Here is a 25,723-nt window from a genome sequence, read left to right as displayed (position 1 = left end):
TGTCCAAATAGGGATTCCAGGAGCCCGAGACCCGGCCTTAAGAGTCCAACTGGGACCTGAATACCAGGAAAAGTGTGTATTAATACAATCCCCATATTGGAAAAGGCATGGGATTAGTAAGGGTGGGTCTTAGAACCAAGAATGTGAGTGTTGTAAAAAATAGATCAGAAACAAGCACAGATCATGGGGATTCAGGATCACACTTAAGCCCTCTGAGCCAGGCAGTGATGATGGCATAGGGGAGGTAGACCTTGCCTGGGACAAGGGAGACAAGTTGGTTCAGAGCAATGCTCTAGGAGCACAGCAGCTATGGACTGATCCTTACCACAACTGTTTATAATATGACCATTCAGTAGTGAAGACTGTAGACTTTGGAATCAGACAAGCTGGTATTCAAATCCCTGCATTTTCACTTACTTGCTGTGTTACTTGAGCAGGTTGCAGAAAGGCTCTCGACCCAGTCTTCTCATCTACAACACACAGACAGTAATGCCCAACTTTACATGCATGATCTTGTTTAATCCTCAAGCCAGCTCTGTGAATTAGGTGCCATTATTATCCCCTTTTCACAGATGAAGAAACTGAGGCCCATGGAGAGGTTAAAGACTCGCCTAAGGTCATAAAGATAGTAAGGGATGGAGCTAGAATGTAAACCCAGGTCTCTTGAATGCCAAGACCTCCAGCTTCCTGGGCCCACAACCGAGACTCTCCCATGTCTGTGTGGTACAGGTCTCAGAACTCATCATCCCCACAATGGAGACAGCCCGGCAGTCCTTCTTCTTGAAAACCTACTTAGACCATGAGATTCCAATGCTGTTCGTGGGTCCCACAGGCACTGGCAAATCAGCCATCACCAACAACTTCCTTCTCCACCTTCCCAAAAATACGTACCTACCCAACTGCATCAATTTCTCTGCCAGAACCTCAGCCAATCAGACCCAGGATATCATCATGTCCAAGCTGGATCGACGACGGAAGGGCCTTTTCGGGCCTCCCATAGGGAAGAAAGCAGTGGTGTTTGTGGGTAAGGCATTGGGCTGGGTCTGGACACAACCAGATTCTTCCACCATAAGCTGCAGCAAACTATAGCTTCTGCTTGTGGTGCCACTGTACATACCTTTACTCTCCCTGGGAGATCAAATATTTCCAGTTAATATAGCTTAGTATTCATTCTCTCCTCTTCTTTTTCTCCTTCCTCCTTCCCTCCCTCCCTCCCTCCTTTCCTTCTTCCCTCCTTTTCTCCTTCCTTCCTTCTTTCCTCCTTTTCTCCTTCCTTCCTTCTTTCTTTCCTTCCTCTCTTCCTTGTAGTGGAAGTAGTAATTTCAGAAGGGGGCTGTGCTGTTTGCCCGCTGGCATTTCCAAAAGCAACACACACCTTGTGATAAACCCCTTATTCCATTTTCTGTCAGATAAATGTGTTATCACTAAATGGAGGAACCTAATACTTGCCAAACATTTGTGAAATAAGCACAGTGAATTTTCCCAGGACTGTAACTATTTACAAAGCGTTTCCTCACTTCGGTCACTTGAGCCCCACAACCCTGTGAGCTTATTAACCATCATTGTCATTTTACTAGTCAGTGCATTGAGGCTCCAGAAGGTTAAATTTCCTGTTTGAGATCAAATATCTAGAACATTCTGGAGCTGTGACCCAGACCCAGGCTTTTTGGTGCCAAATACATTATATTTTCCACTATCTTGCTGTTGACACGTAGCGTTCTCATCTAGCAATAGTAATGCCCCACACTTCTGGATTATTTCAGGATATGCCTTTAAAACTCATGTATTCAGAGGAAATATTGCCTGAGTTCATGTCCTTGCCAACTAACAGCCCCTCAGAGGCAGGGGTCCTATTTTATTTTACATTCCTTTTCTCTTCCTCTTTTTCTCCTTTTCTCCATCTTGCTCTCCCTCCCTATTTTTATGGTATATTCAAAAACAGGGTAAGCTTTGCAGCCAAACAGATCTGGTTTCAAATCTTACTTTTTTGAGAGAGAGAATGTCTCACTCTGTTACCCAGGCTGGAGTGCAGTGGCACAATCACAGCTCACTGCAGCCTCCAACTCCTGGGCCCAAGTGATCCTACTACCTCAGCCTCCCAAGAAGCTGGGACTACAGGCACATGCCACCACTCTTGGCTAATTTTTCCATTCTTTGTAGAGACGGGGGTCTTGCTTTGTTACCCAGGTGGTCGAACTCCTGGCCTCAAGTGATCTTCCCGCCTTGGCCTCCCAAAGTGTTGGGATTACAGGTGTGAACCACCATGCCCAACTTCAAAGCTTACTTTTTAACCCTAGGTATATTGTGAGTTAACGTCCCTGACCCTCAGTTCCTCATCTTTAACATAGAGTTAATACTATCTTCCTTATAAAGTTATTATCGGATTATATGAGATAATGTATATAAAGCTCCTAAAATGTTACCCCACACAAACTGGGCATTCAAACAATTGTTTGTTGAAGAAAAACTAAAGGAGCCCCCCCCTTTTTTTTTTTTTTTTTTTTTTGAGACGGAGTCTTGCTTTGTCCCCCAGGCTGGAGTGCAGTGGTGCGATCTCGAAGAGCCCCCATTTCATTGAGTGCCTCTGATGTGCCAGGACTGAGTAATATACTACTGGGGAAAATGAGTCCCTGCCCTTCGGGAAGTCTTAATATATTCTTGTCATTTTGGTTTTCTCATCAAAAACCCCAGCTCAGGCTGGGTGTGGTGGCTCACGCCTGTAATCCCAGCATTTTGGGAGGCTGAGGCAGGTGGATCACCTGAGGTCAGGAGTTTGAGACCAGCCAGGCCAACATGGTGAAACCCCGTCTCTACTAAAAATACAAAAATTAGCTGGGCGTGGTGGTGCACACCTGTAGTCGCAGCTACTTGGAGGCTGAGGCAGGAGGACCACTTGAACCTGGGAGACAAAGTTGCAGTGAGCTGAGATCACACCTCTGCACTCCAGCCTGGGTGACAGAGCAAGACTGTCTCAAAAACAAAAACAAAACAAACAAACAAAAAACTCCAGCTCAAGGCCTAGGGTCTCATCATCTGTTGCTCCCATTGAAGTTCAACTATTACCTGCTGGTCAAATTAAATACTCTATTTGCTGGGAGCTTGACTGTTGCCATCATATGGGGAGGAATTAACAAAATGTCTAGCACATAGTAGACAATCTATTTTGCTTGACAGAAATGGGAAAAAATTAAATGCCTGTTTTCTTTTTGTTTTTCTCGTCTTTTCTATTTTCTTTTTGAGGCAGGGTCTCACTCTGTTGCCCAGGCTGGATGGAGTGCAGTGGCACAATCTTGGCTCACTGCAACCTCTGCCTCCGAGGCTCAAACAATCCTTTCATCTTAGCCTCCTGAGTATGGGACCACAGACATAAGCCACCATGCCTGACTAATTTTTTTTTTTTTTTTTTTTTTTTATGGAGACAGGGTTTCGCCATGTTGCACAGGCTGGTCTCGAACTCCTGAGCTCAAGCAATCTGCCTGCCTCGGCCTCCCACAGTGCTGGGATTATAGGCATGAGCCACCATGCCCGGCCAAGCCAGTTTGTTAATGTCAGTCTATGCATCCTTATAGTCACGTGGACAGAGATCTCAATGAGGCAGGAGAGCCCAGAACTCAGGAAAACCCCTTCCAATCTGGTCAGGGCATCCATTGACTAAGCCCTAACTGGAATGGGGAATGGAAACCTGGGAACAGATTCCCCTACAGGGGAATTGCCATCTGTTACCTCTGTAAGAGCAGAAGATGCCATGAACTTGCAATGGCTGTATCTGTGGTTTCTTTCCCCAGATGACCTCAACATGCCAGCCAAAGAGGTGTATGGGGCCCAGCCACCCATCGAGCTCCTGAGGCAGTGGATTGACCATGGTTACTGGTTTGACAAAAAAGACACAACCAGGCTGGACATCGTGGACATGCTGCTCGTGACAGCCATGGGGCCCCCCGGGGGAGGAAGGAATGACATTACTGGTATGTGAAGGGAAGAGCTCATTCCTCTTTCCCTCCATCCCCAGCAGAGCTGGGCCACCTTTATGAAAGGTGGGTTGGTGTGCCACAGTCTGTCCTGCCAAACCACGTGGCAGGAGCATGGAGCAGAAGCATGTGTAGGCTACAGGCTTCATGTTGGAAATTGTGTGAAATAGAAGGGGACGATGGCAAGAAGATGTGAGGAGTGTTTGGCTAGGCCCTAGAGAAACAGAGAGTCTCATAGGAAAAGGAGAGTTCAGTGTGGCCAGCATGTGTTCCGGGAGGGAGGCTCCATCCAGAAGCCTCAACTAGGGGTGCATGACAGTCATCCATTGTATTCGTTATAATTCTTTAGGTTGCCAGAGACAGAATGCCTAACCCAAAGTGCCCTAAGCAAAATTAATAACAATAAAAATAGCAAATAAATAATCAGTGGATATATTGCTTCACGTGCAACTTGATCCACCCAGTCCTATAGATCTGTACTTCTATTCTGATATACATTATTGGTTAAGAATCTTCATACTGAGTGGGTGCAGTGGCTCATACCTGTAATCTCAGCACTTTGGGAGGCCGAAGCGGGTAGATCGCTTGAGGCCAGGAGTTCGAGACTACCCTGGCCAACATGGCAAAACCCTATCTCTACTAAAAATAAAAAAATTAGCTGGGCTTGGTGGCTTGTGCCTGTAGTCCAGCTACTTGGGAGGCTGAGGCAGGACAATCGCTTGAACCCAAGAGGCAGAGGTTGCAGTGAGCCGAGATGGCACCACTGCACTCCAGCCTGGGCAACAGAATGAGACTCTGTCTCAAAAAAAAAAGTTAAGGATGGTAGCTGAGAGCATGGTTTGGCAGCTGACACAGGTCTGGGGTTGAGTAACCCAAAGCAGGCATTAATAAACCTTAACTACTGTTATCCCTATCATCAAAAGGTTAAGTTCACATAGCTACCAATAGTTCCAGATCAACAACATATAATTTAATGTAGAGAAAAATCTACACGTATCAGTATGTGTGTGTGTAGATGGTATATACACATGCTAGCTACATATATATGTATTATATTATCTACATGATTTTTAACACATGTATGTATAAAAAACTATGGAAAGAATTTCAGGGAAATGGCAGCCACAAAGGCTGCACAGTTTTCAGATCTTCCCAAATCGTCACATAAAAACAGAGCAACTAGGTAGCAAAACCAGAAAGCTATAAACAACACTTACAACAAAGCTAGTTTGCAAGGTATCCCCACAGATTCCAAAATACAAATTGGGTGACAGCAAACCACTGACAGCTGCAAGACGTGCAATTATCTGCACCTGTGCAGGAGAACGCAGCGGGAAGGAATGGACCTGAGAGGAAGAACCAAAAGCTAGTCAGCAGGTTTGCACTGCAAAGTGTGCTGGCCCATGTGAGAGGAGAAGCTGAAGTTTACAGGGTTTTCACCTGCTGAAACTAGTGACTGCAGTGACCCAGCCCATGGTGAGCTCTGAAGGGGATGCTAGCCCCCGTGATTTCTCAAAACTGACCAGTCAGGTGTCCCCTTCCAAGGCAGGACCCTATATTGAAGAGAAATTGCTGGTAGCTGAATCAGAATGGAGAAGGTTAAGATGAATAGAAACAAAGCAAAGAGAAGGTCCAAATAAAAGAGAGAGAGGGAAAAAAGGCGGAAATTTTCAGAAAGCAACTCACTATATTTTTGAACATATAAGAAACCAAGAGAGTCTGGGCGCAGTGGCTCATGCCTATAATCTCAACACTTTGGGAGGCCAAAGTGGGCAGATCTCAAGAGGCCAGGAGTTCGAGACCAGCCTGGCCAAGATGGCGAAACCCCATCTCTACTAAAAATACAAAAATTAGCCGGGCATGATGCACACCTGTTATCCCAGCTACCCGGGAGGCTGAAGCACAAGAATTGCTTGAACCTGGGAGGCAGAAGCACAAGAATTGCTTGAACCTGGGAGGCAGAGGTTGCAGTGAGCCAAGATTGCACCATTGCACTCCAGCCTGCGTGAGACTCTGTCTCAAAAAAAGAAAGAAAAGGCCGGGCTCTGGCTCACGGCTGTAATCCCAGCATTTTGGGATGCCAAAGCGGGCAGATTACTTGAGGTCAGGAATTTGAGACCAGCCTGGGCAACTTGGCGAAACACCATCTCTACAAAAAATACAACAACAACAAAAAATTATCTGGGTATGGTGGCATGCACCTGTAGTCCCAGCTACTTAGGGGGCTGAGGCAGGAGGATCGCTTGAACCTTGGGAGGTCAAAGCTTCAGTGAGCCAAGATCGCACCACAATACTCCAACCTGGGTGAGACCCTGTCTCTAAAAAAAAGAGAAGAAAAATGAAACCAAAAACTAGGAGGAACACAAGAAAGAATAAACACGGCAAATAATGCTGTAGGAAAAAATAATAATAAAAGGAGGATTTTTTTAAAAAAAAAGACATGTTACAACATGGATGAAACTTAAAGATGTTATTGTCTTTAAGTGAAATAAACCATATCATTAAGTGAAATAAACCATTCACAAAAAGGCAAATACTGTATGATTCCACTTATACGAGGTACTCAAAGTAGTCAAATTGACAGAGACAAAAAGTAGAATAAGTGGTTGTCAAAGTCTGGAGGGAGGGGAGATTGAGGAGTGAATGTTGAATGAATGAATGATTTTTAGTTTGGGAAGATGAAAGTTCTGTAGATGAATGGTGGAGATGGTTGCACGACAACGTGAATGTGCTTGATGCCTCTGAACCGTACACTTAAAAATGGTTAAAATGGCCAATTTTATGTTACATATATTTTATCACAATAAAAACTTTTTATTTTTTTATTTAATTAATTAATTTATATTTTGAGACAGAGTCTCGCTCTTGTCGCCCAGGCTGGAGTGCAATGGCATGATCTCAGCTCACTGCAACCTCCGCCTCCGGGTTCAAGTGATTCTCTTGCCTCAGTTCCCTAAGTAGCCGGGATTACAGGCACCCACCACAATGCCCGGCTAATTTTTTTGTATTTTTAGTAGAGACGGGGTTTCATCCTGTTAGCCAGGCTGGTCTCAAACTCTGGATCTCAGGTGATCCACCCACCTCGGCCTCCCAAAGTACTGGGATTACAGGCGTGAGCCACTGCGCCAGGCCATTTTTTAAAAAAGAAATGAAGAAAAGGATTAAAAGGATTTGAGAGAAAATGACAAATATTGAAGTTACAAAGAAAATCCAACATGAAGTGTCTGAAGTATCTGAATAAGAAAATCAAAATAAAGAAATAGAAGAAATAATACAAAATATATAATCCAATAAAATAAGAAAAAAACATTTTGAGAATTACATACTGGAAGAGCACATTGTATACCTAAGAATATTGACTCAAAATGATCACTACCAAGGCATACGCTAATAAACAGCATAAAAGAGTGGGCTTTCAAGAAAAATAAATTAGCCAGGTGTTGTGGCATGTGCCTGTAGTCCCAGCTACTCAGGAGGCTAAGGTGGGAGGATCGCTTGAGGCAGGGAGGTCAAGGCTGCGGTGAGCTATGATTACACCACTGCACTGCAACCAGGGCGACAGAGCAAGACCCTGTCTCAAAAATTTAAAAAAAGAAAAAAACTTTTGGGCAGCTAGACAAAAATAGCACACAACTTATATGGGAAATAAAGTTAGATCAACTTTAAGTGTTTTCAGTAGCAATGCTTAATACCAGAAGAAAATGGAATAACACATTTAAGATACTTAAGGAAATAAAATGAGAGTTGAGGATTTTATAGCCAGAAAAATTAATCTTCAAGTATTAAAGGAAAATTGTTATCAACATGCACAAACTCAGAGACTATTATTTTTTTAAGCCATTTCTCAGGAATCTCCTAGAAAATGGATTTCAGGTAATCAAAATGACTGTGGAGAGACTGATATAACTAGTAGTAAGCATTAAATATATGGTTATTTGTTGAACTAAGACTAAATGGAGAGGTGATATTATGTAAAGAGTATATTATTTGATGATGTAGATATAGAACAGTTGAAAACGTAGAATTTTCTATTTATCTTATCCCTTGAGTTTTTGAGAACCAAGAGTCTTGGGGTGGAAAAAAGGAGGTCAAGATGTAATACATAGGAAGTTAGGGCTGGGGGCAGTGGCTCATACCTGTAAACCCAGCACTTTGGGAGGCCGAGGAGGGTGGATCGCTTGAGGCCAGGAGTTTGAGACCAGCCTGGCCAACATGGTGAAACCCTGCCTCTACTAAAAATACAAAAATTAGACAGGCATGGTGGTGCAAGCCTGTAGTCCCAGCTACTCAGGAGGCTGAAACATGAGAATTGCTTGAACCTGGGTGGTAAAGGTTGCAGTGAGCTGAGACCACACCACTACGCTCCAGCCTGGGCAACAAAGTGAGACTCTGTCTCAACGAATGAATCAACAACAAAAACTAAAAAAAGAAGTTAGGCAAAAGTTTTATAGTCCTAAATTTGAACTTGATGTTTAATGTCCACTGAAAAGATCTAAAGAAATAATGACCACCTTATTAACAATGAACATGTCTACTACTCAGATTGTAGTCTTGAAATCCAATTTCCTGCTGAAAGAAACCAAGACATCTTAAAGAAATGGCTGATTGCATGTCTGCTGGGGTAAGAAATATATGAAATAGGCCAGGAGCGGTGGCTCACGCCTGTAATCCCAGCACTTTGGGAGGCTGAGGCAGGCAGATCACGAGGTCAGGAGATCGACCTGGCTAACACGGTGAAACCCCGTCTCTACTAAAAATACAAAAAAATTAGCCGGGCTTGGCGGTGTGCGCCTGCAGTCCCAGCTGCTGGGGAGGCTGAGGCGGGAGAATGGCGTGAACCCGGGAGGCGGAGCTTGCAGTGAGCCGAGATCCCACCACTGCACTACAGCCTGGGTGACAGAGCAAGACTCCATCTCAAAAAATAAAAATAAAAATAAATATATGAAATAAGCCTGTAAAGTCTTGATATACCAGATAATGAGAAAGCTATCAAAGATTACCGGACTCACATCAAAAGGACTTGGTTGTCAACATAAAGAGGCTTTCACTCACCAAAGATGAGAAAATTTAAGCTTCAACAATGGTAGTGATTTCAATGGATTGAAATTTATCTAAATATATTTTAATCCATGAGTCTATAACAATAATAATAGTTGGTCACCTACAGAAAATGATAAGGAACCAACTCGTTATCTTGGAAACTGATAAGTAAATGGGAAAGAATCAGGCATTCTCTGACACCCTGACTTTCTTGTATGAAATGTACCACTGTATAACCAAATAGTGGTTGATGAGGGGAAGTATCTCATGAAAATATTGCAACTAATAGATGAAAAAGAAGTGACTCAGAATATTACCACTTTGCAAACCCCAGTGAATTAATGGATGTAGCCATTGAGCATCAGTAGCTACCAACATTACAAAAGGAGAAACATTATTGAGTACTTTCCAATGAAAGAACACACCACCACCTATGGTCTGGCCAAAGGGATGGAATCTGAATCCCAACAAGTCTCTGGATCCAGCTACAAATTTGTAGGAAATACAGAGGACAGAGGAACGTGATAAACTGCATCATAAGTATGTAATCAACAAAATCCTGACTGTGAAAACTCTACAAGTCAAACAGCCCAGATCTTCAACGGATAAGACACGTAAGAAAGGAATGGAGGGAAAAAACTATAAATTAAAAAGAGACCTTAAGAAATACATATGAGGCCAGGTGCAGAGGCTCACGTCTGTAATCCTAGCACTTTGGGAGGCCGAGGCGGGTGAATCACCTGAGGTCAGGAGTTTGAGACCAGCCTGGCCAATATGGCAAAACCCCATCTCTACTAAAAATACAAAAATTAGCCAGTCATGGTGGTGCATGCCTGTAATCCCAGCTACTTGGGGTTGAGGAAGGAGAATCACTTGAACCTGGGAGGTGGAGGTTGCTGTGAGCCGAGATCGTGCCACTGCACTCTAGACTGTGCAATGGGAGTGAGGCTCCATCTCAGAAAAGAAAAAAAAAAAGGCATGTGGTTGTTTTAACTGGCAGAATTAAACAATTAAACCCTGGTGTCTACAAATAAACACTTGGATGGTAAAAATCATAAAGAAATGCAAGACAGCAATTACTATAAAAGTCAGAAGAGTGATAACTTTTGGAGGAAGAAAAGGAGACAGTTTAGGATGGGCTCTGTCGAGAGGCTTTTGTGGAGGGCTGGCAAAATTCTATTTTGTTTTTGTTTTGTTTTGTTTTTTGTTTGTTTGTTTTGAGACAGAGTCTCGCTCTGTCGCTCAGGCTGGAGTGCAGTGGCACAATCTCGGCTCACTGTAACCTCTGCCTCCCGGATTCAAGCAATTCTCCTGCCTCAACCTCCCGAGTAGTTGGGACTACAGGTGCCCGCTACCACGCCTGGCTAATTTTTGTATTTTTAATAGAGATGGGGGTTTCACCATGCTGGCCAGGCTGGTCTCGATCTCTTGACCTCGTGATCTGCACGCCTCGGCCTCCCAAAGTGCTGGGATTACAGGAGTGAGCCACCACACCTGGCTGGCAAAATTCTATTTCTTAATCTTGACAGTAGATGCTAAGAGTGTTAACCTTATAATGATTTACTAAACTATACATTTGTTTTGTGTGGTTTTCTGTATCTTTTACCTGTAACAAAAAAATGTTTTAAAGATATACAGGCAAACCTATAGAGACAGAAAGTAGATTATTAGTTGCTGAGAACCATGGGAAAATGGGGAATGACTGCTAATGGGTACAAGGTTTCTTTTTAGCACGATTAAAATGTTCTAAAATTGTGATAATGGTTGCACAACCCTGAATATATTAAAAATCATTGAATAATTGTACTTTAAATGGGTGAATGGTACAATATGTGAGTTATTATTGGGATATCAATAAAGCTGGTATATATCTATATAAATAAATACAGATATCTAACAATTATAGATTAGACAGATACATAGATCTATAGATACACAGAAAGATGATAGATGATAGATTAGACAGATAGATGATATAAGGATACCAAATTAGCAGGGGAGAATGGATTTGGCGCGTATAAGGTAAGTGAAAGTGAGAGGTGACAGCGTGCTGGCAAGTCCTCACAGCCCTGGCTCGCTCTGGGCGCCTCCTCTGCCTGGGCTCCCACTTTGGCGGCACTTGAGGAGCCCTTCAGCCCACCGCTGCACTATGGGAGCCCCTTTCTGGGCTGGGCAAGGCCGGAGCCCACTCCCTCAGCTTGCAGGGAGGTGTGGAGGGAGAGGCGCGAGTGGGAACCGGGGCTGCGCGCGGCGCTTGCAGGCCAGCTGGAGTTCCGGGTGGGCGTGGGCTTGGCGGGCCCCGCACTCGGAGCAGCCGGCCGGCCCTGCCGGCCCCGGGCAATGAGGGACTTAGCACCCGGCCAGCGGCTGCGGAGGGTGTACTGGGTCCCCCAGCAGTGCCAGCCCACCGGTGCTGCGCTCGATTTCTCACTGAGCCTTAGCTGCCTTGCCGCGGGGCAGGGCTTGGGACCTGCAGCCCGCCATGCCTGAGCCTCCCACCCACTCCATGGGCTCTGTGCGGCCCAAGCCTCCCCGACGAGCACCACCCCCTGCTCCACGGCGCCCAGTCCCATCGACCACCCAAAGGCTGAGGAGTGCGAGCGTACCGCCCGGGACTGGCAGGCAGCTCCACCTGCAGCCCCGGTGCGGGATCCACTAGGTGAAGCCAGCTGGGCTCCTGAGTCTGGTGGGGACTTGGAGAACCTTTATGTCTAGCTCAGGGATTGTAAACACACCAATCAGCACCCTGTGTTTAGCTGAAGGTTTGTGAGTGCACCAATCGACACTCTGTATCTAGCTGCTCTGGTGGGGCCTTGGAAAAACTTTATGTCTAGCTCAAGGATTGTAAACACACCAATCAGCACCCTGTGTTTAGCTCAAGGTTTGTGAGTGCACCAATCAACACTCTGTATCTAGCTGCTCTGGTGGGGCCTTGGAGAACCTTTGTGTAGATGCTCTGTATCTAACTAATCTGATGGGGACGAGGAGAACCTTTGTATCTAGCTCAGGGATTGTAAATGCACCAATCAGCACCCTGTCAAAACAGACCACTCGGCTCTACCAATCAGCAGGATGTGGGTGGGGCCAGATAAGAGAATAAAAGCAGGCTGCCCGAGCCAGCAGTGGTAACCCGCTCGGGTCTCTTTCCGCACTGTGGAAGCTTTGTTCTTTCGCTCTTTGCAGTAAATCTTACTGGTGCTCACTCTGTGGGTCCACACTGCTTTTATGAGCTGTAACACTCCCCGCGAAAGTCTGCAACTTCACTCTTGAAGCCAGCGAGACCACGAGTCCACCGGGAGGAACGAATAACTCCAGACATGCCGCCTTAAGAGCTGTAACACTCACCGCGAAGGTCTGCAGCTTCACTCCTGAGCCAGCGAGATGACGAACCCACCAGAAGGAAAAAACTCCGAACACATTCGAACATCAGAAGGAACAACCTCCAGACGCGCCACCTTAAGAGCTGTAACACTCACCGCGAGGGGTCGCGGCTTCATTTTTGAAGTCAGTGAGACTAAGAACCCACCAATTCCGGACACAAAAGGAGATTTTCACTTTCAACAAAAGTATTCCTGAATTGATAGACTCTTTTACAATGATCATGTATTGCCTTTATCTTTTAAAAACATTCTTGAGGCTGGGCGCGGTGTCTCATGCCTGCAATCACAGCACTCTGGGAGGCCTGTAGTCCCAGCTACTCTGGAGGCTGAGGCTGGAGAATCTCTTGAGCCCGGGAGGCGGAGGTTGCAGTGAACTGAGATGGCACCACTGCACTCCAGCCTGGGCAACAGAGGGGAACTCCATCTCAAAAAGTAATGTAATATAATACAACATGATATGATATAATAATGAGCACTAAACTAGCACTCAGTAGAACTTCCGCAGTATGGAGATGCTCTATATCTGTACTGAGCAATACGGTAGCCACTAGCCACATGTGGCTCTTGAGCACTTGAAGTGTGGTGAGACTAAGGAAGAGCATTTTTAATGTTATTTAATATTAATTAATTTAAGTTTAAATTTGCTGCAGGTGGCTAGAGGTTGCCATATTGCACAGCACAGCTCTGGAACATGAAGGCAGAAGGCAAAGCCACCTCGTGTGCATCCTAGGGTCACAGACAGTGTGAGAATATGTGTTTTCCAGGATGATTCACTTGTGTGTTGTATTCCCCAGGACGATTCACTCGCCATCTGAATATCATTTCCATCAATGCCTTTGAGGATGACATTTTAACCAAGATTTTCAGTTCGATTGTTGACTGGCACTTCGGGAAAGGGTTTGATGTGATGTTTTTAAGGTAAGAGGTTTCTCTGTCTTCCTGGATAGTGGGCTGGGGGTTCTCAGTTTCTGGCCCCTCCTTGACTACTGTGCCATCCCTTTCCTCCCAAGGTACGGAAAGATGCTGGTCCAAGCTACTAAGACAATTTATAGAGATGCAGTGGAGAACTTCTTGCCAACTCCCTCGAAGTCACATTACGTCTTTAACCTGCGGGACTTCTCACGAGTGATTCAAGGGGTCCTGCTGTGCCCTCACACACACCTGCAGGTCAGCCACTATCATTTTACTACCAAGATCATTCAGCATATCCTTGGCTACATAGAACATGTAGTAATAGCAGTAATAGCTAACTTTTATTAGGCACTTAGTCTATGCTAGGCATTGTGCTAAGCATTTTATAAACATTATCTAGTTCAATCCTCAAATCAACCCCAGGACTTACCTACTACTGAGAACTACCACCTCAGGGACCATCTTCCACTCGTTTGAATAATTAACTCTGGATTTTTAGGATGTAGAAAAATGTATCCGGCTTTGGATCCATGAGGTTTATCGGGTCTTCTATGATCGTCTGATTGACAAGGAGGACAGACAGGTCTTTTTCAACATGGTGAAGGAAACCACCTCCAATTGCTTCAAGCAGACCATAGAGAAGGTAAACCAGATTCTGTGATCATTTGACCTCAGAAATGGTTCCAAGTGTTTAACCACGTTACTTTCAGATTTCAGGTTCCCTTCCTGTTGGAGACTGCCAGCTCTGCACTCTGAATCTCGGGAAACAGTATTGAGTCAACTGCTCTTTTTGACTTGGTGATATTTTACTTGGTCCAACTTTGCTTCCCTTCTGTTGTAACATATAAGTTTGAATCCACTCAAAATGGCTTAACATGCATTTTAAGTTCATTATAAATGAATGTTTATTATGAACTTAAAATGCATTTTTAGGATCAATTAATTGGTGAGTTGAGAAATGAACTGTACATTGTCATGATTTGACTGAGGTCCTATAAAGCTCAAGTGAAAGATTGTTATGGTTTTCCAGGTGTGAATATTTTCTCTTTTCCATTTCCATATAAGAAAAGTTGTTTTAAACATCTATATTTTTATCATCTGGTTATTCTTCCACTGCTAAGAAGCTGTGATTTCTCCATAGAAAAATTTCAAGTGTTTTATCTTGCGTTCAGAGGCCAAGTGCAAAAGCGTCACTGGGTTCTAACATAGGACGAGGAGGCATCTAAAACGTTCCTACTCCAGGCACAGAGTGGGGACCAGGATAGTGTCTATACTTCTATTTGGTGGAGGATCAAGCACCTAAGAAAAGCACATCCTTCAACTGTCTTTTCTGGGGACCGTACAAACTGATCACCAATGTTTTAATCACATGGCAAATAGACTGATTAAAGCGTTCATACTCTAATGTCCTTTCTTTTAACAAAAAAAATATTTATTTTTAGAGGTAGGACCTCACTCTGTCACCCAGGCTGGAGTGCAATGGTATGATCATAGCACACTGCAGCCTCAAGCTCCTGGGCTCAAGCAGTCCTCCACCTCGGCCTCCTGAGTAGCTGGGATTACAGGTGTGCACCACGATGCCCAGTTAATTTTTTCTTATTTTATTGTAGAGACTGAGTCTCACTATGTTGCCCAGGCTGGTCTTGAAGTCCTGAGCTCAAATGATCCTTCTGCCTCGGCCTCCCAAAGTGCTGGGACTACAGGCATGAGCCACCGTGCCCAGCAATGTTCTTTCATTATAGTCTTTACAAGCATGAAATCCACATATTATGTTTAAAAAACAAAAAGACTGGGCCGGGCACAGTGGCTCATGCCTGTAATCCCAGCACTTTGGGAGGACGAGGTGGGCAGGTAACCTGATATCAGGAGTTTCAGGACCAGCCTGGCCAACATGATGAAACTCCATCTCTACAAAAATACAAAAATTAGCCAGGCATGATGGTGGGTGCTTGTAATCCCAGCTATTTGGGAGGCTGAGGCGGGAGAATCGCTTGAACCCAGGAGGCAGAGGTTGCAGTGAACCGAGATCACACCATTGCACCCCAGCCTGGGCGACAGAGTGAGACTCTGTCTCAAAACAAAACGAAACAAAACAAAACTGATGACCCATGACCTTGAAGGATGTGCTCAGAGGAAATAAGCCACGTCTCCCATGCCCTCCCTCCATGATGTCCCTACCAGCCTGGCTGGGCCATTCACTGAATGCCCCGCCGAGATTTACTTTTCTTACAGGTGCTTATCCACTTGTCACCCACTGGAAAGATAGTCGATGATAACATTCGAAGCCTCTTCTTTGGAGATTATTTCAAGCCAGAAAGTGACCAAAAAATCTACGATGAGATCACTGACCTGAAACAGCTGACTGTGGTCATGGAGCACTATCTGGAAGAATTCAACAACATCAGCAAGGCCCCCATGTCCCTGGTCATGTTCAGGTTTGCCATTGAGCACATCTCTAGGATCTGCCGTGTCCTGAAGCAGGACAAAGGCCACCTGCTCCTGGTGGGCATAGGGGGCAGCGGGCGGCAAAGTGCCGCCAAACTGTCCACATTCATGAACGCATACGAGCTATACCAGATTGAGATCACCAAGAACTACGCAGGCAATGACTGGCGAGAAGATCTTAAGAAGATCATACTGCAGGTCGGTGTGGCCACCAAGAGCACCGTGTTCCTCTTCGCCGACAACCAGATCAAGGATGAATCATTCGTGGAGGACATCAACATGCTTCTGAACACAGGTGACGTGCCTAACATCTTCCCTGCTGACGAGAAGGCTGACATCGTGGAGAAGATGCAGACTGCAGCCAGGACCCAAGGAGAGAAGGTTGAAGTCACTCCTCTTTCTATGTATAACTTCTTTATTGAGAGGGTGAGAAAGAACCTTCACATTGTCCTCGGTAAGAAGAAGAAAACTCCATTTGCCCTTGTTCTTCTGGGTGTTTTGGGGTCTTCTGAGTGCCCTGAGCAGGCCAATCCCTTACAATGGTCCCAGGGTTGATTCAGCCAACGCACCAGCTCGGGGTCAGGGCCCGGAGTTCCTCTGGCAACTTTTTTCACTCTTCTGAGCAGCAATTTTTTTTTTAAAGACAGTCTTGCTCTGTTGCCCAGGCTGGAGTGCAGTGGTGAGATCTCAGCTCACTGCAACCTCTGCCTCCCAGTTTCAAGCGATTCTGGTGCCTCAGCCTCCTGAGTAGCTGTGATTGCAGGCGCGTACCACACCTGCTAATTTTTGTATTTTTAGTAGAGAGGGGTTTCACCATGTTGGCCAGGCTAGTCTCATACTCCTGGCTTCAAGTGATCTGCCCGCCTCGGCCTCCCGAAGTGCTGGGATTACAGGCATAAGCCACCGTGCCGGACCCTGAATAATTTCAAACCTGTCCCCCGTCTTCAATTTCCTGAATTCTCCTCTGAGAATTACCCTTGCACAGAATGACATCTCGGGTTTTCTCTGTGAACGACATTTCCAATGTATCTAGAAACCTAGCAATTGTGTTTAGTACTTCCCTTTCTTTACCAAGTCCTGTCTGTTACCTCCAGCTGTCTCATATCCACTCTCTTATCTCCATCTCCATCACCTTCACATTGGCTAAGCTGCCATCCTTTTACCCAGGCTCACCTCTGCAACTTTCTAATCATTCTAGCTCCATTCTTGTCTGTTCCATGAAGCCAGGCTGATTTTTTTCATATGCTGCAAATATTATCATTGTGTTCATGCATGCATACACACACACACACACGCACGCATGCGCACACGTGCACACATATACACACACACACACACACATTGGGATAAGGACCAAAATTACTAACCTGCGGTCTCATAATGCCATAAGGCCACCTGCCAGACTGTCCTCTGTATCCTCTCCACCTTCATCTTTTCAAACCATCGCCCTTTCTGTCTTTTTTTTTTTTTTTTCTGGATATAGGGTCTTGCTCTGTCACCCAGGCTGGAGTGCAGTGATGTGGTTCTAGCTCACTGCAGGCTCAACTTCCTGGGCTCAAGTGATCCTCTCACCTCAGCCTCCTGAGTACATGGGACTACAGGCACACACCACGATGCCCAGCTAATTTTTTCCATTTTTGTAGAGATAGGGGACGGGGATGTGGGGTTCACTTTGTTGCCCAGGTTGGTCTGAAACTCCTGGGCTCAAATGATCCTCCTGCCTTGGCCTCCCAAAGTGTTGGGATTACAGACGTGAGCCACTGTGCCAGGCCTCTGTTCTTTACCCACAGTGACCTTTCACTTCCACCTAGACATCATGCTCCCTTCCACCACACATAGTCTAAATAACAATGAATGGAATTTTAAGTGTGGAACCCAAAATTTGTTATTGGCCAGAGATGGGATCAGAAACAAGCAGATGACCTCACAGCAACTTCTATAAATAACAGTGTATGGCTCCCGTGTATCAGCACAAATACAGCAAGTCAATCAAAGGGCTCCAGCCACACTGGCTACGTGACCCGAAGGATGCGGAAGGAACAATAGTGTGTATGGGAGACCAGTTAGAAGGTAATAGACTCAGGCATGGTGGCTCACGCCTGTAATCCCAGCACTTTGGGAGGCTGAGGCGGGCAGATCACTTGAGGTCAGGAGTTTGAGACCAGCCTGGCCAAAATGGTGAAACCCCGTCTCTACTAAAAATACAAAAATTAGCTGGAAGTGGTGGTGGGTGCCTATAGTCCCAGCTACTCAGGAAGCTGAGGCAGGAGAATAGCTTGAACCCAGGAGGCGGAGGTTGCAGTGAGCCGAGATTGCGCCACTGCACTCCAGTCTGGGTGACAGAGCAAGAATCTGTCTTAATAAAAAATAAAAAATTAAAATTTTTTTTAAAAAGGGGCTATTGTAATGGGCTCCTCACAAAGTTAAGTGAAAATATCCCACTAATTAGCCCGCATTTCCCAGGCACTCATTATGGCCATTGACAGTCACATCCCTGGAGCGCCAGGAGGAAGCCTGCCCCCACTTACCCCACCAGAATCCTTGGGAATACCCGCCTGCCTCCTTGGGTCCACCTGCCTTGGAGGAAGGTAATTAACAAAATCTCCTTTTCATTAGCCATGAGTCCAATAGGGGATGCCTTCAGGAACCGCCTGCGGATGTTCCCTTCGCTGATCAATTGCTGTACGATTGATTGGTTCCAGTCCTGGCCCACAGATGCCCTAGAGTTGGTGGCTAACAAATTTCTAGAGGATGTGGAGCTTGATGACAACATTCGGGTAGAGTAAGTGTTGATTGCATTTTAGGACTCTAGATATTCCAAATTTGAAGTCCAGACGCTGGCTCTATTTTTGTTGTTGTTTTGAAGATTTCTCAATTTGTATATAGCAAATGTCTTATGCTTTTAAATTGAATCACAGTTAGTTAGATATTTAATAAAGCATCTTGTCTGTAAAAGAAGAAAATTTCATTGTTCAGAATTGTCCTGGAGATTTGTCCTAGCTATGAGAACCTGGAATAATGATATAGCTATTTCAGTAGTCCTAGAATATGCATTCTCAACAGGAAGAAGATTGCTGCTGAGACCACAAAACAATGTTTGTTTGTTTATTTGTTTTTGAGATGGAGTCTTGCTCTATCCCCCAGGCTGGAGTTCCTTGGTGCAATCTCAGCTCACAGCAACCTCTGCCTCCCAGATTCAAGTGATTCTCATGCCTCAGCCTCCCCCAAGCAGCTGGGATTACAGGCACCTGCCATCACGTCCAGCTAATTTTTATATTTTTACTAGATATGGGGTTTCGCCATGTTGGCCAGGGTGGTCTCGAACTCCTGACCTCACGTAATCTGCCCGCCTTGGCCTCCCAAAGTGCTGGGAATACAGGTGTGAGCTACTGCACCTGGCAAAAATTAGTTCCTATAAGGGTGAAAATTTACTCTTTTATGTATAAAGCACATATATATATGTGCTTTATTATATATATATACTTAATTATATATATTATATATTATATATGTGCTTTATATATATGCTTTATTATATATAATATATGTGCTTTATACACTTTATGTATGTATATATGCATACATATATAAAAAAAGCATTTTATTTGGCTAGAGTAAGGGAAGAGGTGAGAATATCAGTCATTCTGGATGTTCCATGAAGGCTAGAGATCAGTCAACCTTGTCTACCTCTGTTTCCTTAGTTTCTAGAAGGTGCTTGGCACACAGTAGGTTCAATCATTGTTTATTTTATTTATTTATTTATTTATCTATTTATTTTGAGATGGAGTCTCACTCTGTCGCCCAGGTTGGAGTGCAGTGGTGCGATCTCGGCTCACAGCAACCTCCGCCTCCCGGGTTAATGCGATTCTTGTGCCTCAGCCTCCCGAGTAGCTGAGATTACAGGTGTGAGCCTCCATGCCCAGCTAATTTTTGGATTTTTAGTGGACACTGGGTTTCACCATGTTGGCCAGGCTCAACTGACCTTAAGTGATTTGCCCACCTCGGCCTCCCAAAGTGCTGGGATTACAGGCGTGAGCCACCGCACCCAGGCTCAATCACTGTTTGTTGAATTAATGGATGAAAAATGAGGAAGTAGGTAGGGGTAAGAGTGTCAATGGCCTTAAATTCCATTTGGGGTATTTTGAACTTTATTATCTAGACCAGAAGACCCTTAACCTGGGTCCACGTGCTTGTGGGTAGAATTCAGTGGGTGGATGAATATGAATGGGAAACATTACATCTTCATTTCCAATGACATCCAACTGGTACTTTGCATTTCCTCCAGTTATGAATGTAGGCAGTAAACCCCAGTGGGATGAGCAGGGCCTGACTTTGTTACCAGTAGGAATCAGTTCTTTGCAGAACTCATTGCATCATTACAGTTAACTCAGTGTATAATTTTCTTCGAATTGATGGTGCTTTTTAGACCTGCTGCCCACTCTTGTTATTTAATGCAGAAGCTGACAAACTATGGTTCATGGGCCTAGTTGAATTCACCCTGCTTTTGTAAATAAAGTTTTATTGGAATGCACGCATGCCCATTAGTTTACACACCATCTGTGGCTGTTTTTGCACTAAAATGGCAGAGTTGAGTAACTGTGACAGATATCATGTGGTCCACAAAGGCTAAAATATTTATTATCTGACCCTTTCCAGAAAAGGTTTACTAATCCCTGATTTAATGCCTCAGTAAAGCAGCATGTATATTACTATATTACAAATTTTAAAATATTTTAAAACATTTCAAAAAGTCTATTTCAATATAATTGGTTTCCATGGTAATTCTGTGTTTTATTTTATGCATTTTTAAAAATTGGCTGGGCATGGTGTTTCATGCCTATAATCCCAGCACTTTGGGAGGCCAAGGCTGGTGGATCACTTGAGGTCGAGAATTCCAGACTAGCCTGGGCAACATAGCAACCCCTACCCCACCCCCCACCATCTCTACTAAAAGTGCAGAAGATTAGCTGGGTGTGGTGGTGTGTGCCTGAGACTTCAGCTACTCAGGAGGCTGAGGTGGGAGGATCACTTGAGCCAGGGAGGTTAAGGCTACAGTGAGCCATGATTGTGCCACTGCACTCCAGCCTGGATGACAGAGTGCAATCCTGTCTCTCTCTCTCCCCCCCCACATATATATATATTTATATATAAATAAATATAATAAAATATAATATAGTATATATTATAATATATAATATAATATATGATGTATATTATAATATATGATGTATATTATAATATAATATATGATGTATATTATATATATAATATAAATAAATAATATAAATAATATAAATAAATATATAATAAAATTATATATATATATATATATTTTTTTTTCTACAAAGTCAGGGAATATCTCCAAACTACCAAAGTTTAGGAATTCCTGCTTAAGCCCTGGTGATTCATCAAAGGGATCAGTGATAGAAATGACTTGATCAAAGACCATTTGTGGCTGGGCGTGGTGGCTCATGCCTGTAATCCCAGCACTTTGGGAGGCCAAGGTGGGCAGATCACCTGAGGTCAGGAGTTTCAGACTAGCCTGACCAACATGGTGAAACTCTGCCTCTACTGAAAATAGAAAAATTAGCTGGGCGTGGTGGCACATGCCTGTAATCCCAGCTACTCGGGAGGCTGAAGCAGGAAAATCACTTGAGCCTGGGAGGCAGAGGTTGCAGCGAGCTGAGATCGCGCCACTGCACTCCAGCCTGGGTGTCAGAGAGAGACACTGTCTCAATAAATAAATATAAAATCATTTGTGTGAGAGTATGCACCTATGTACCTGCCCCATCCTTCTCTGCCTCAGCTCTGTTGACATGTCCTCAGAGAGTTTGGATTCTAACGTGTCACAGTCAGTGTATGTGCCTTCTCATATCCTCATGTCTATAACTAAAGCTGTACTGGATCTCCCTGGAAGATGTTGGGTCCTGCCTAACCGCCTTGGTGTCCTCGGCAGGGTCGTGTCCATGTGCAAATATTTCCAAGAGAGCGTCAAGAAGCTGTCACTCGATTATTACAACAAACTTCGAAGACACAACTATGTTACCCCCACCTCCTACCTTGAATTGATTCTAACCTTCAAGACGCTCCTGAATAGCAAGAGGCAAGAGGTGGCTATGATGAGGAACCGCTACCTGACAGGCTTGCAGAAACTCGACTTTGCAGCTTCTCAGGTGAGCACTGCCAAAACAGAACAGAGACAAAGAGGCCCGGGACGAGGTGGATGTGCCGAGGCATGTGTTCAGGTGCGGAATTAAGAGGACACCAGATCAAGCAGAATGTGACCCTGCATTTGCAGAGCTTACCTTACCTACATCACTGTAATCCCTGCCCTGTGGGATCCTGTCTTTAAGATTTTGATATTTTGTTCATCATGGGTTTTTTGCATTAATTTTGATTTCTTAATCTATTGCAATAATGTATTATTTATCTTGAGTACTTTTTTTTTAATGACCCCTTAAGTTTTGTCCTCAAGGTGAGTGCCTCCCTTGTCTCACCTTATGGGGACCTGGGCAGGATAAGGCAGTGAATCATTCAAGATATCTTTGTGGAGTCAGATCTGGGCCCAAATTTATCTCTACAGCATACCAGCTGTAGAGCCAGGGGCATGTTATTTCACTTCTTTGAGCCTCAGATTCCTCTTCTATAAAAAGGTGAAGGCCCAGTGCAGTGGCTCACGTCTGTAATCCCAGCATTTGGGAGGTCAAAGCCGGGAGGATCAGTTGAGGCCAAGAGATCGCTTGAGACCAGCCTGGGAAACACAGCAAGACCCCATCTCTACAAAAAAATAAATAAAATAAAATTAGCCAAGTGCAGTGACATGTGCCTGTAGTCTCAACTACTTGGGAGGCTGAGGTGGGAGGATCACTTGAGCCCAGGAGTTTGAGGCTGCAGTGAGCTATGATCGTACCACTGCACTGCAGCGGGGTAACAGAGTGAGACTTTGTCTCTTTATTTTATTATAATTATTTCTTTCGAGACGCAATCTCTCTCTTACTGAGGCTGGAACTCAGTGGCGCAATCTCAGCTCACTGCAACCTCTACCTCCTGGGTTCAAGTGATCCTCCTGTCTCAGCATCCCAAATAGCTGGTACTACAGGTGCGTGCCACCACGCCCAGCTAATTTTTGTATTTTTAGTAGAGACGGGGTTTTGCCATGTTGGCCAGTCTGATCTCAAACTCCTGACCTCAGGTGATCTGCTCACCTCGGCCTCCCAAAGTGCTGGGATTACAGGCATGAGCCACCCGCCCGGCCACCTTGTCCCTTTAAAAAAGAAGAAAAAACTAAGTGGTAGCAGTTTTCACTGCATAGGGCTGTTATGAAGATGAAGTAAGCTGACACAGTGCAGCCTTTAGCAAAATGCCTGGCACATGAGTTATTAATTAATTTGTTCTTAGAGCCACCTGAAAAATTATCTAAAATGAAAGCTGTACTAGGAGATGGATTTTCAGCCCCAATAAAGACCAAAGAACATTGATTGATTTACAGAGCTTGGCTCTGTGTACAGCAAACCCACAAACACTGCAATGCAGGGATGGGAGAGAACATTGGAAATGGCCTCTGTTGCTCTGTTCCTGGGGATTTGAGTGGTTGGTTTTTAGAGATGTTGAAAGTGAAGTCTGTCCAGCAAGGGTGAGGTCGGTCGTGTCTGAGGAACAGCAAAAGGACCTAAGACAGTCTAGACCAGAAAATAAAATGATTGCACCAGTTAACATTTCTTGGGTCCTACTGCATCCCTAGTGCTGTGTGTGAAGAAAGTATCGTTACCATCTCCATGTGATACACAAAGAAGCCAGGACACAGAGAGGCCAAGTGTCTTGCCCATGATCACACAGCCTGGGGAGTGGTCCAGCTAGAACTGAAACTTAGATCTGCATGACTCCAAAACCTATGTTCCTAACTAGGCCAGCCTGCTGTGCTTGTGGTCTCACACAAGCTCACTGGGGGCATTGGGTGCAAGGTCATGAAAACTGTCTCCAAATACATGAAACCCAACCCTGTTTGTCTGAGCTGCCTTAAAAGGCAGAATCATGACCAGTGAGTGCAAACTTCAGGGGGGTAATTCTAGCTCTGCATCAGGAAAAGCTAATGGTTTTTTGTTTGTTTGTTTGTTTTTGTTTTTGTTTTGACAGAGTCTCATTCCATCACCCAGGCTGGAGTGCAGTGGTGCAATCTTGACTCACTGCAACCTCCACCTCCCGCATTCAAGCAATTCTCCTGCCTCAGTCTCCCGAGTAGCTGGGATTACAGGCACGTGCCACAGCGCCTGGCTAATTTTTGCGTTTTTAGTAGGGACAGGGTTTCTCCATGTTGGTCAGGCTGGTCACGACCTCCTGAGACCTCAAGTGATCTGCCCACCTCAGCCTCCCAAAGTGCTGGGATTACAGGTGTGAACCACTGAGCCTGGCCTAATGGGTTTAATTGTCTAAAAAATGGCACAACCCTCATGAGAGGTGGTGCGCTCCCTGTTATTAGAGGAGTTCAGAGACCAGAAAACTACTTGGCAGGAATGTTTTATAGAGCATCAGACTGTTTGTCTTAGTCAGCTTGGGCTGCCATAGCAAAATATCCCAAACTGGGTGGCTTCAACAACAAACGTTTACTTCTCATAGTTCTGGAGGCTGGGAAGTTCAAGATCAAGACACTAGCAGATCCACTGTCTGGTGGGGGCTCTTTCCCTGGTTTGCAGACGGCTGCCTTTTTGCTGTGTCCTCACACAGTGGGAAGAGACAGATCTCACGTGGCTTCCTCTTTTTATTATATAAGGGCATTTACCCCATCATGTGGGCCTCACCCTTATGACCTCTTCTAACTCTAATTATCTTCAAAGACCTCGCCTATAATTGCCATCAAATTGGGGATTATGCTTCAACATATAAATCTGAGGAGGACACAAACATTTAGTCCACAATACTATTGGAAAAAGTAGCCTTGAAAGTACCTTCTATCTCAGCTGTCTTTTTTCTTCATAGCCTTTAAGAAAAAAATGTAGCTTTAAAAAATTATTTTGGCTGGGCACAGTGGCTCATGCCTGTAATCCCAGAACTTTGGGAGGCCAAGGCAGGTGGATCACCTGAGGTCAGGAATTCAAGACCAGTCTGGCCAACATGGTGAAACCCCATCTCTACTAAAAATACAAAAATTAGCTGGGTGTGGTGGCACATGCCTGTAATCCCAGCCACATGGGAGGCTGAGACAGGAGAATTGCTTGAACCCAGGAGGCAGAGGTTGCATTGAGCTGAGATCTCACCACTACAGCCTGGGTGATAGAGTGAGACTCCATCTCAAAAAAAGAAAAAATATTTTAACTTAAAAAAAAATTTTGTAGAGACCTGTTCTCACTATGTTTCCCAGGCTGGTCTTGAACTTCTGGGCTCAAGCAATTCTCCCACCTCTACCTCCCAAATTGCTGGGATTACAAGCCAAGAAAAAAATGTAGTTTAAAAAAAAATTTCTTGGCCGGGCGTGGTGGCTCATGCCTGTAATCCCAGCACTTCGGGAGGCTAAGGTGGGTGGATCACCTGAGGTCAGGAGTTCTAGACCAGCTTGACCAACATGGTGAAACTTCGTCTCTACTAAAAATATAAAAATTAGCCAGGCGTGGTGGTGTGTGACTGTAGTCCCAGCTACTTGGGAGGCTGAGACAGGAGAATTGCTTGAACCCAGGAGTTGGAGGTTGCAGTGAGCCAAGATCATGCCACTGCACTCCAGCCTGGGTGACAGAGTGAGACTCTGTCAAAAAAAAGTCTTAACTTGCTTTTGCTCTGTCTCTCTCCCATTACCCCCAACACTACAATATAGACTCAGTGAGGGAGGAAACGGTTTTTAAAAAAGATTTTAGTTTACAATTATATGTCTAGTGCCTAGCACAGTGCTTGATAACCACAATGCAGAGTGTAAACTCAATAACTGTGTTGAAAAACCTATGAGATAATCACTAGGAAACGAATCTGTACCCAGGACCATGTCAAAATCAT

At 44.7% G+C, this 25,723-nt stretch overlaps 1 protein-coding gene across 16 annotated transcripts in view; it reads left to right on the top strand.

Annotated features, from left to right (window-relative positions):
- The window catches only part of DNAH3 (dynein axonemal heavy chain 3), a 226,349-nt gene that overhangs the window by 158,212 nt on the left and 42,414 nt on the right, over positions 1–25,723 (top strand). For 13 of the 16 annotated variants that reach the window (XM_017023432.2, XM_047434349.1, XM_047434348.1 and 10 more), the window contains 8 exons: positions 730–1,024; positions 3,786–3,965; positions 13,183–13,306; positions 13,399–13,555; positions 13,800–13,943; positions 15,533–16,199; positions 18,362–18,527; positions 21,702–21,918. In XM_017023432.2, coding sequence (XP_016878921.1) covers positions 730–1,024; positions 3,786–3,965; positions 13,183–13,306; positions 13,399–13,555; positions 13,800–13,943; positions 15,533–16,199; positions 18,362–18,527; positions 21,702–21,918 — 1,950 coding nt within the window. Of the gene's footprint in view, positions 1–729; positions 1,025–3,785; positions 3,966–13,182; positions 13,307–13,398; positions 13,556–13,799; positions 13,944–14,010; positions 14,745–15,532; positions 16,200–18,333; positions 18,528–21,701; positions 21,919–25,723 lie in introns of those variants that run through there. The other 3 variants (NM_017539.2, XM_017023428.2, XM_017023429.2) reach the window with 3 other exon arrangements.

This window comes from Homo sapiens, chromosome 16 (genome assembly GCF_000001405.40).
Source record: "Homo sapiens chromosome 16, GRCh38.p14 Primary Assembly".
Lineage (NCBI taxonomy): Eukaryota > Metazoa > Chordata > Mammalia > Primates > Hominidae > Homo > Homo sapiens.
Note: the sequence above shows the minus strand (reverse complement) of the source record. Positions and strands in the feature narration are given on the sequence as shown.